Here is a 12,130-nt window from a genome sequence, read left to right as displayed (position 1 = left end):
CCAAGGGCATGAGATAGCAGTATATTATCCTGGAGAGCCTAGAAGCAATTCAGTACTGTTGGAGCATAATGGAGAAGCTGGGAAATAAGGAGGGGGCCAGGAAATTGAGGGTGCTAAGTCCAGAGACAGAGCCAGTGGCCATATGTAACAAAGTTTTGAATGTCATAAACACTGTAGGTGACGGGGACCCCGGAATGGGATTATCTGAGGAACCTTAGAAATGACCTTTGATAGCAGGGTAGAAAATACGCCAGGAGAGAAAGAAAAGGAGATTAAAGCTGCACAATACTTCAGGAAGAAGTATGAGTGGTCTAGATGAGAAACACCGAGGGCCTGATTTATAGCAGGATGAGCCGCAGACAAAACTCCTCAGACACCGAGTTAAAGAAGGAGCAGTTTATTCGGCCAGGAGCATCGGCAAGACTCCTGTCTCAAGAGCCGAGCTCCCCGAGTGAGCAATTCCTGTCCCTTTTAAGGGCTCACAACTCTAAGGGGGTCCACGTGAGAGGGTCATGATCGATTGAGCAAGCAGGGGGTACGTGACTGGGGACTGCATGCACCAGTAATCAGAACGAAACAGCACAGGACAGGGATTTTTACAATGCTCTTCCATACAATGTCTGGAATCTATAGATAACATAACCGGTTAGGTCAGAGGTCGATCTTTAACTGCCAGGCCCAGGGCGTAGCGCCGGGCTGTCTGCCTGTGGATTTCATTTTTGCCTTTTAGTTTTTACTTCTTCTTTCTTTGGAGGCAGAAATTGGGCATAAGACAATATGAGGGGTGGTTTCCTCCCTTAGATTGAGGCAGTGCTGATGAGGCAGAAAGACAGATTGAGCTGATTTTTAGGAGAGAAAATTCAGAATTGATAAAGCTAGCTTGGTCTTTGAGTGTAGGAAGATAAAAAGAAGAAAAAATAGCACTCTTGTTGTGTATCTCTTACTTGGAAAATGTAATGCTAAGCACATAAAAATGCTCAGAAAGTTATTTAATAAGTAAGTCTCCATAGCATTATCTGGTCTTGATTTAATTTTATTTCCAATTTTAAAATTACTTTCTATTAACTGGAACCTCCCATGCTTTACCCAGCCTTTTGGTGTGTTTCCAGTCTACAAGGATTCTCTTAATATTTCCAAGTAGAAAACTAAAAGGTGACTTTGTTTTCCAATCACATATTTATCTATTTAGATAGTCATTAGCATAGTATTCAAAAGCCATCTAAGAATGACGTTGCATGACTAAAAACAAAGAAGGAAAGATGTCAAACCTCAATACACAAGCATGAGCCTTCTTTTCATTGCAGGCCACACAGAGGAACACCACAATTTTTCTTAGTATTGAAGTTCATCTCAACCTCAACCAATCTTTAACTGTGTATCATAGAGTTTTTTTTTCATAGAAAACAATTTCCAGTTTACAGAAAGAAATGTCAAACTCAGTCTATCAGAGCTTTAGAATTAACAAGGAAGATGAACAACACAGTATAAGCAAAATTGCTCGTTTTTGTAAGCTAACTGCAACCACAGAGGTGAGAAAGTCTTCCATTGATATGATGGCTATCATGCATATATTTTTATATGTTTCTAAGAATTGAAAGTAGAACTATCAGGGCTTCAGATACATTTTGAAGAGATAATGTTATTTATTTATTTTGAGTCAGGGTCTTAGCTCTGTCATTCAGGCTGAAGTGCAATAGCAAGATCACAGCTCACTGCAGCCTCGACCTCCCGGGTTCAAGTGATCCTTCCACCTTAGCCTCCTGAGTAGCTGAGACTACAGACACTTGCCACCATGCCTGGCTAATTTTTAAATTTTTTGTAGACACGGGAGTCTCACTATGTTGTCCAAGGCTGATGTCGAACTCCTGGGCTCAAGAACAGGTGGTGGGTCAGCAATCCTCCTGCCTTAGCCTCCCAGAGTGCTGGGATTACAGGCATGAGCCAGCAGTCCTGGCAAGGAGATAATTTTATTTATTTATTTATTTAGTTAGTTAGTTAGTTACTTATTTTTTGAGATGGAGTCTTGCTCTGTCACCCAGGCTGGAGTGCAATGGTGCCATCTCCGCTCACTGCAACCTCTGCCTCCCGGGCTCAAGTGATTTGCCTGCCTCAGCCTCCTGAGTAGCTGGGATTACAGGTGTGCACCAACATGCCCAGATTTTTATTGTATTTTTAGTAGAAATGGGGTTTCACCATGTTGGCTAAGCTGGTATCAAACTCCTGACTTCAGGTGATCTGCCTGCCTCAGTCTCCCAAAGTGCTAGGATTAGAGGTATGAGCCACCACGCCTGGCCAAGGAGATAATTTTAAATGATCAAAATTTTTGGAGGCATATCATACATGTACATGTATGATCTCTGAAAACTGTTTTAAAGATAAAGTCAGCAAAGTACAGCCTGTTGGCCAAATCTGACCCACCACCTGTTCTTGTAATGCTGTGAACTGAGAATAGCTTTTGCATTTTTAAATTTTAAAAGGTTGAAAAAAATCAAAAGAAGAATAAAATTTTATAATATGTGAAAATTACCTGAATTTCAAATGTCAGTGTCCATAAATAAGGTTTTATTGAAGCACAGCTCACCCATCCGTTATGTACCAGCTGCATTCATGCTATAATAGCAGAGCTGAGTGGTTATGACAGAGACTTTCTGGCCAAGAAAGCCTAATGTACTTACTAGCTGGCTCTTTCCAGAGACTGTTTGTCAACCCTGTTTTAAGAGCTTTCCTCTAAAGAAGCACAAGCCTTTAGTAAACTGAAGACTTCTTCATAAAGATTTTCTGTGTCAGTGATACATTATGTTAAAAAAAGAAAATCCATGAATTTAGTAAAGATAACATTGATATTATAGACTAAAACAATAGGCATGACTTTAATTATATTTAGGATGCTTATTTTCCCACCTTATTTCAGTAGCATAGTTATAAGAACACACGCTTTAGGGTGATCATTCTTTTTTCTTGAATTTTGTTGAGCTTTGCATGACCTTGGACTAGTTACCTAACCTCTTGTAAGCCTCAGGTTTCCTACAAGAACAGAATAATAGCAATACCAACCTCATGGGAGTATGGTAAGTACCAAAATGGATAAGTGGGGCATTTTTGGGGGGGAATTACTTAGCTTGTTATCTGGTAGTAGGTGTGCAATAGATTATAATTATCATCATTCTCTGAAAATGTCATTTTTGCTTTCTGGTGCTCCATTTCTAGTACTGCCTGTAAGGTCTATTTTGACAAGGAAATCTGTAAGACCCTGCCAACATCATTTTGCATAGCAAGAGCCCTTCTCTGTGTTACAATCTGGACAAAAACTGTCCTCAGTTGCATGAATCCAAGAATACACTTGACAGAAGAATGGAAAAAAGGAAGCCTAGGAAGTCTAGAAACAAAAATCATAGTGATGAGCAGTGCTGGAAGGCTGGTCAGCAGCTAGAGTACAGCTTGTGAGCAGCATATTGGGATTTTTTTTTTTCCATGTTAGACTCTATTCCAACTCTTTCTATTGAGAGTCCACGGTTTTGTGATGGGTTGTTGATGAAGGAAAGCTCTGAATTTTTTAGAGCGGATGAAGTGTTTGTCATTTTATTCCATTTTATGTTAGGTTAACACTGCCATTTTTCTTTTATTATTCGATGTCTTAGCTGATGTCTCCCAGGCGAAAAGTACCCAGAAAATCATGAGAGTGCAGTTCCTGGAAATTCAGTTATTTCTTTCTCGCTGGGCTTGCTCTGCCTTTAGAATTGTTGTGACTCTGGATTCCTGCGGAGGAACTAGGGCCTGGGGTGACCTCATGGCTCCTCAGCTATGATGCACCTTCTCTTTTCTTCCCTTATCTCAAGTAGGTCCTGAGCAGCCCAGCCCAGGTGGTCTCTTCTGCTCACCAGGGGTGGCCTGGAGTCAATTGATAAGAGCCCTCTTTTCTTGGCCCTTACAAAACAAATTTCTGCCTAAAGACAGCTAAAGGGAAGAAAAACACCACCAAACCAACAACTCCTTTGTACCTCCATTATCCCCAAAATTAGATAAAGAAAAATTAGAATACCAGGAGGCAGCAGACACCTCCACAATGCAGCTCGGAAACAGAATTTCTATAGATCTGCTGTCCTTTTTTTAAAATCACATAGAAGAGTTTGTACAAATCTCATTTGTTTTCACTTCCTTCATTTTTGTGTCTTAACACATTATTTTGAGGAAAATGCCTCTGAATTTTATCCTTGCTCTTCAATTACGGTTGAACAGGAACTGTTAATTGAGTTTAGCCACTCAAAAGAAGAACAAAGTATTTCATCATTCTTACATATTCTGGTTGGACTCATGGTTAAAGAAGACAAATAGAAAAACTCACACATCAGCCTGGTGTGGGGATAAAACCAAAAACAGTGATGCTCACAGGCATGCCTGAGAGTGGAATGGTGGTGTTGGTGGGGGAGTGCCTGTTTACTGGTAGTAGGAGTAACTCTCGTCATCATATTCCAGCTCATCTATGTCATCGTCATCCAGCAGCCCATATTTAAATTTCCGGTAGACTGTGCCATCCTGGCCCATGTAGACGATGTCATCATCATCATCCTCATCATAGTCCCGATCCCTGTACTCAATCACCTGATCCTCTTCAAAGCTGGTGCTCTCTCTATAGCTGCTCTTATAGGAGGAGTAAGACTTGTTGGGGTCGGCCAGTTTTTCATAGCCGGCCTTTGCTGCTGGCTGGACTCGGCCACGAGATTTCTTCCACACTACCACAGCTGCCCCGAGCAGAAGCACCAGCATCATGGAGGAGGTGATGAACAGAGCTGTCTTGAAATGCTCAGTTGCAGGCCTAACCTTGCTTGTTCGAAGGATGCATTCGTCTGTTGGAAGAAGACCTCAAAGGAAGAGGCAAGAGGGAAAAAGTGAAAGAAATAGAATAGAGAAAATTAGTTTCTGAGGTAAAGAATTTCACCTTTATTTTAAAAATTGAAAATGGTAGAATCACTGTCTCTGATTTTCCTCTGTTTTTAATTTTAATTTTAATTTTTTTGTAGAGACAGCATCTCACTATGTTGCCCTGGCTGGTCTCAAACTCTTGGGCTCAAGAGATCCTCCCACCTTGGTCTCCCAGAGTGCTGGGATTACAGACGTGAGCCACCGCACCCGGCCTGTCTCTGATTTTCCTAGAAGGCATACCACTGTATAAAATTGGAGTATGTACCCCGTGAGAATCCTAGCCTATGTCTGATGAAGCCAATAAATCCTTCTAGAAAGAAGGTCAGTTTGCCATCCAAAGGGAGTTCCCTTATCCCCATACCTCGTAGGTCAGTCACCAGGTGTCCAACATTATCAACTGATTCTTCTATTTCCCTCCTAAGAAAATACTTCATCTTGGACTAAGCTTTAGTTATTGCTAAATGCTCTATTTTCTTTCCCAATTCCAACTTCTTTTCTAAGACTGAGTCCTCTCCCAAGGTACCCTTAAGTCTGGGCCAACATGACTGTCCCACCACTTAAGGGCAAGAGCAGATAATTTATAAAACTACTGACTCTGAGAGCCATGTGGGGCCTTAGAAATTACTTAGGCCAATTTGTTGTTTGACATTTGAGGAAACTAAAGTCCATCGAGAGGAAGTGAATTGTCACATTGTCAGAGACAAGACCTTATTTGTGGAGCAATCAGAATTCAAATCCAGGAATCCTAGCTCCATGCTACAGTCTAAAGACATTAGGACAAAAGGCTCTGACAACAGTTCTTTGGCTTCTTGGAGTTTTATGCTCCTAGCCTGGCAGAAAAAGAAGTACTATCTTTAAATCCTATCAACTTGAATGATAGGGAATTTTTTTCTATCATTATTAAGAGTTTTTTTTTTTGAGATGGAGTCTCGCTCTGTCACCCAGGCTGGAGTGCAGTAGCACAATAGCTCGGCTCACTGCAGCCTCTGTCTCCCAAGCTCAAGCAATTCTCATGCCTTAGCCTCCTGTGTAGCTAGGACTACAGGTGCACACCACCATGCCTGGCTGATTTTTGTATTTTTAGTAGAGATGGGGTTTCACCATGTTGGCCAGGCTGGTCTTGAATTCCTGACCTCAGGTGATCACCCTCGGCCTCCCAAAGTTCTGGGGCATGAGCCACCACATCCAGCCATTATTAAGAGTTTTGAAATCCGGAGTTCCAACCCCTGTCATCCATCAGCCTCTGTTTTGATGCCTTGATTGAGAATATGGAGTAACCAAAACAGTTTCATGGAAGGAAAGATTCAACTGTAACTTTAGTGATGAGGATGAGCTCATTTTTCTTACTTCTTATTCATTTTTCCAGGTGGTATGATTTGGGTAATATGTCTATTTTTTTTCTATTCTTTAACCCACCACATGGGAGTATGAAAGAACCAGAGAAAAAACTATCAGGCCATGAGGCCATGTTGGATGTACAAGCTGAGTTACACGGTAGGTTTTTCATAAATATTTGTTGAACTTCTTGGATCTCTCGTGTTCAAGGGATAATTTCATGAGCAATTCTAGGTACATCCTACACAGGTACATTCTAGGTATATTCATTCTAGATAAATGAATATAACACTGCTGCCAAGGTGCAATGCTTTTTGCTTATTAAATATTGATCAATTAGATCTGATACATCATGACTATGTATTTCTCTTTCTTTTTTGCTAGTGAGAAAGAAGTTTTCTATTTTATCATAATTTTCATTCTCATGGGATTTTACCTATCAAGCCGAGTTTCTTCTTCTAAAGTAACAGCCCTATCATTATTACATTAATCATTAGCAAGTTCAGCATAGAATTTTTCCCTGGAGAAAACATTAAAGCATTGGAGAGATTGATAAGCAATCTGTGTGTGGTACTGTGAGATAAATACTGCCTGAAGCAGTAGAATCAATATGAAAACCTTTTGAGGTTGTTTGAATTACTAGGGTGCCATATGCAGTCATGCCTTGCTTACTATTCTCCATCCCAGGTCTGCAGAGTCAGGGTTAGCCTTTGTGATATGGTTTCTTTGAAGGGGCAGAGTGTCTCTGTAAAGAAGGATCAGGTAATCAAGAGCATTTATACTTTCGCAGATTGCTGCAGGTGGCTCTTCAAGAGCTGCAGGGGGACCAGGAAAGCTGACGAGATAGTTCTTAGTTGGAACAGTCTTTCAGAAACTCTGCATGCAACATGCACAAACTTCTGGTTTCATTTAAAGGCATTAATGTTGTGAGAGTTATTATTCTTAGCTGACACAGAATGGATATTAGGCAATCAGACCCTGAATGTAGGTGTGTATGAAGAACAGGGAAAACCAGCTGCTCGTGGGGGTGGGAAAGCTGAAAGAAGGAAAACGTTTTTGGAAAGATGATACTTAAAACCCAATTGAAAATGCTGATCAAGCCAGGCGCGGTAGCTCACGCCTATAATCTCAGCACTTTGGGAGGTTGAGGTGGGCAGATCACCTGAGGTCAGGAGGTCAAGACCAGTCTGGCCAACATGGTGAAACCCCTTCTGTACTAAAAATACAAAAATTAGCCGGGTGTGGTGGTGGGCACCTGTAATCCAAGCTACTCTGGAGGCTGAGGTAGAAGAATAGCTTGAACCCAGGAGACAGAGGTTGCCGTGAGCCGAGATTGTGCCATTGCACTCCAGCCTGGGTGACAGAGCCACACTCTGTCAAAACAAAAAAAGAAAAAGAAAAAGAAAGAAAGAAAGAAAGAAAATGCTAATCAAAAATAAAAAAGAAATGGCTGGTAGCAGTTATGGGTCTGGGATTTTCTTTACTTACAAATAGACCAACTCACAAATATGGCATCGCTTTTTGTCAGTGAATGTCACTTCTGAACCCCAAGGAAATTATCTACTTCTGGACTAGAGAGTATATTTTAAGAATATATGTTTCTTTTTTTTTCTTTTCTTTTCTTTTTTTGAGACGGAGTCTCGCTCTGTCACCCAGGCTGGAGTGCAGTGGCACGATCTTGGCTCACTGCGAGCTCTGCCTCCCGGGTTCACGCCATTCTCTTGCCTCAGCCTCCTGAGTAGCTGGGACTACAGGCGCCCGCCACCACGCCTGGCTAATTTTTTTGTATTTTTAGTAGAGACAGGGTTTCACTATGTTAGCCAGGACGTTCTCGATCTCCTGACCTTGTGATCCGCCCTCCTTGGCTCCGCAAAGTGCTGAGATTACAGGCGTGAGCCACCGCGCCCGGCCATGTTTCTTTTTTTAGAAGGAATCAGTCAGTTTGAGATCTTTCTAAGTTTGTGACCAATGAGAACCAAGTACCCACATGGATGGGGTTAGACGTGAGGATAGCTGAGGGACTGGAAATTGGTAAAGGGGGTTTTACTTCTTAGCCTTCAATAAAAATTCATTTCTAAAATGTCATAAGTCTCTGAGAGGCCTAGGTTTGGGCTGACTTTCATAGAATGATTCTTCAACAGAATCAGGATAATATTGACATCAGCTTCCTTGATAGTTAGTTCTTTTCTTTTTTTCCCAAGAGGGAAGAATAAAAAAAGGAACAAAGTAAATTCATAAAGATAAAATGCTAGCTCTACTTGAGTTCTAGTCTTGGAGGCAAGCAGAAAATCTAATTCCAGATGAACCATTTTTTAAAAAAAAATTTAGACAGCATCTTGCTCTGTCACCCAGGCTGAAGTGCAGTGGTGCGATCTCAGCTCACTGCAATCTTTGCCTCCTGGGCTCAAGAGATCCTCTCACCTCAGCCTTCCTGGTAGCTGGGATTACAGGTATGCACCACCACGCCCAGCTAATTTTTTATTTTTAGTAGAGAGGGATTTGCCATGTTGCTCAGGCTGGTCTCAAGCTCCTAGACTCAAGCCATCTGTCTGCCTCACCCTCCCAAAGTGCTGGGATTATTTACAGGCGTGAGCCACCACGCCTAGTCCCCAGATGAAACTTTTAATATTGGTATGGACTTGGCATGCGAATCCAACTCTTTGAGCCTCAGTCTCCTCATCTGTAAAATGGGACTGATAATCCCTACTTGTGAAGTGAGACAATGGTCATGAAGTTTCAAGTACAGTAGGCCCATAGTAGGCACTCAATAAAAAGGTAGCCATATTGATTCTCCTGAACTTTCCATCCCCCCCTCCCTCTGCTCCCATTGGCTTCTTGAGGACATGCCCTTCCTCTGCAGGCTGCTCTTGCTCTTCCCTCACCCGTGGTGTCCTGGCAGTCACAGCACTCCTGGGCACTGGGGGGATCAGAGGTGTTGCAGCAGTGGAGGCAGTGGCTGTCGTCCATGTGCAGCACCAGGTTGGCAGGGCACAAGGTGCAGTTCTTGGCCCCTGGTCCCTTGCATTCCATGCAGCTCTCGTGGCATTTTTCACAGTTAAACTTCTCTCCCTGTTAAGAGCAATCAAGAGGTTCCTTTTGAGTGTAAAGGGATTAACAAGGCACTGGAGTTCCCAGATTGTATCTCATCTTGTCTTCATAAGGAGGGAGATGTGTGGGGGACAGCAGAAGGATGGTGTGTTCTAAGCCCATTTTAACTGTGTTGGGTGAAAGAACCAACTGTCTGTGATGGGGTGGAATCACGGCTGGGCCCTGTCCTTTGAGATCTGCTAATAACAGTGGGAGAGCAGACGTCTAGAACAGTTTGGGTTAGGAGCTGACAGCTCCTGTGCTCAAGGACAGCTCAGGTCAAGGACTAGTTTTGTCTGGCCCACACTGTTGACTTTCAGTTTAAAATATTTTGCATTCATTTCCCGCATCTCAAAAGTGGGATATTTCACATGTAAATTTGTTCCTAATTTCTCTTTAGAAACTAGAAGACCTGTCAACACTGGATTCATCACTCCCACGTGGCGATGACCCCTCTTTCCACTCTTCTATTTGACATAATCCCCAGCACTTGCTATTATGTCACCAACATGTAGGTGATACATCAATTTCCACTTTCCTTCAAGCATCAAGCTTACACTGTGGTTTTCTTTGACCCAGCATTTATGTTAGTGACCTGCTTGGCCTCTGTGGTTACTGGATTATTGTGGTCTGCCCGCAGAATAATATAGGTTGTGGCTGTGTAGCTCAAGTAGTTAAATCTCTTTGGGAAGAGAGTGGAGAGATGAGAAGAAAGTGGCTTCCCTCCCGACAAGTTGCTCCTTGACTGGTGCTGGAAATGTGGGTTAGGGAAGATGCTTTCCTATTTTACTTCTGTAACTTTGGAAGTATGGTATGACAGAAAAAGAAGAAGGAATGGAAATTGCTTTTGTTGAGCACCTTGGCATGTTTCAGGCACAGACAAGGTGCTTTCTCAGCTGTTATTATCTCATTGAATCCTGCATCTCACATATTATCTCATCCTTCAGGTTTAATCCCAGCTTTGTTACTTAGCACTCATATAATTTTTTTTTTTGAGACGGGCTTACTTTTTTGCCCACACTGGAGTGCACTGGTGTGATCGGATTCAAGTGATCCTTCTGCTTCAGCCCCACAAGTAGCTGGGACTACAGGCATGTGCCACCATGTCCAGCTATTTTTTTTTTTTGTATTTTTTGTAGAGATGGGGTTTCACCATGTTGCCCAGGCTGTAATCTTTAACAAATTGTTTAACCTCTTTGAGCCTCAGTTTCTCTAAACTGTAATGACGGCTGTTGCCAGAATTTAAAGAGTGCTCATATGTAAATATGTTAGTTTGTGTTAATTTCATCATGGGGAGATTTACTTATTATCTAAAGTTCGAAAACATAATCAAGAAATTTGTGGTCTTGCCGGGCGCAGTGGCTCACACCTGTAATCCTAGCACTTTGGGAGGCTGAGGTGGGTGGATGGCTTGAGCCCAGGAGTTTGAGACCAGCCTGGGCAACATGGTGAGACCCCATCTCTACTAAAAATACAAAAAATTAGCTGGGCATCGTGGTCAGAAGCATTTCAACCACAGCAACTTCATCTTGAATAGGGGCTGGGTAAAATAAGGCTGAAACTTACTGAGCTACATTCCTAGATGGTTAGGCATTCTAAGTTATAGGATGAGATAGGAGGTTGGCACAAGATACAGATCATAAAGGCCTTGCTGATAAAACAGCTTGCAGTAAAGAGCCAGCCAAAACCCACCTAAACCAAGATGGCAATGAGAGTGACCTCTGATGGTTCTCACTGCTACACTCCCACCAGCGCCGTGGCAGTTTACAAATGCCATGGCAACATCAGGAAGTTACCCTATATGGTCTAAAAAGGGAAGTCATGAATAATCCATCCTTTGTTTAGCGTATCATTAAGAAATAACCATAAAGATGGGCAAGCAGCAGCCCTCACAGCTGCTCTGTCTATGCAGTAGCCATCCTTTTATCCCTCTACTTTCTTAATAAACTTGTTTTCACTTTACTCTATGGATTTGCCCTGAATTCTTTCTTGTGTGAGATCCAAGAACCCTCTTTTGGGGTCTGGACTGGGACCCCTTTCCAGTAGCATCTTTCTGGTGACCACAGAAGTGACAATAGCGAGGGAACCCCCAACCCAAAGGCTAACTTTGGGTAAGTGGTGTAGACCAGTGACATGGTAGTCCCAGCTATTCAGGAGGCTGAGGTGGGAGGATCACCTGAGCCCAGGAGGTCAAAGCTGCAATGAGCTGTAATTGCGCCACTGCACTCCAGCCTGGGTGACAGAGTGAGACCCTGTCTCAAAGAAAAAAAAAAAAAATTCATGGTTTCAGAAAATCCATGGCAAATGAATCTCCTTCCTTCCTCCCTCCCTACCTCTTTCTTTCTTTCTTTCTTTCTCTCTCTCTTTCTTTCTTCTTTCTCTCTCTTTCTTTCTCTTTCTTTTTCTTTCTTCTCTTTCTTTCTCTCTCTCCTTCCTCCCTTCCCTTCCTTCTCTCTCTCTCTTCTTTCTCTTTCTTTCCTTCCTTTCTTTCTTTCTTTCTTTCTTTCTTTCTTTCTTTCTTTCTTTCTTTCTTTCTTTCTTTCTTTCTTTCTTTCTTTCTTTCTTTCCTTTCTTTCACATTGCAGGGGGGGGCGGTTTCTGGTAGAAACCAGAAATTCTAAAGAGCTGTAACACTGCAAATGAATTCTTCTTAATACACTGTAAAGTGGTAAAGGAAGCAAAAGACCAACATTAGCTGTGTGGTTCCTATGTTACTCACACATTTCTGCTTAGACCAGACAGAAGTAAGAGAGAAGGTAGTTTGTATTCTGACATAGTATTCTTATGT

The 12,130-nt window shown here is 42.2% G+C and overlaps 1 protein-coding gene across 5 annotated transcripts in view; it reads right to left on the bottom strand.

The window, feature by feature from the left end:
• The window catches only part of PCSK5 (proprotein convertase subtilisin/kexin type 5), a 473,167-nt gene continuing 461,418 nt past the window's right edge, over positions 382 to 12,130 (bottom strand). For all 5 annotated transcript variants that reach the window (XM_047423454.1, NM_001372043.1, XM_011518769.4 and 2 more), the window contains 2 exons: positions 9,138 to 9,324; positions 382 to 4,844 (listed from right to left, as the gene is read on the bottom strand). In XM_047423454.1, coding sequence (XP_047279410.1) covers positions 4,435 to 4,844; positions 9,138 to 9,324 — 597 coding nt within the window. In that variant the 3' untranslated portion in view covers positions 382 to 4,434. The remainder of the gene's footprint in view (positions 4,845 to 9,137; positions 9,325 to 12,130) is intronic.

This window comes from Homo sapiens, chromosome 9 (assembly GCF_000001405.40).
Source record: "Homo sapiens chromosome 9, GRCh38.p14 Primary Assembly".
Lineage (NCBI taxonomy): Eukaryota > Metazoa > Chordata > Mammalia > Primates > Hominidae > Homo > Homo sapiens.
Note: the sequence above shows the minus strand (reverse complement) of the source record. Positions and strands in the feature narration are given on the sequence as shown.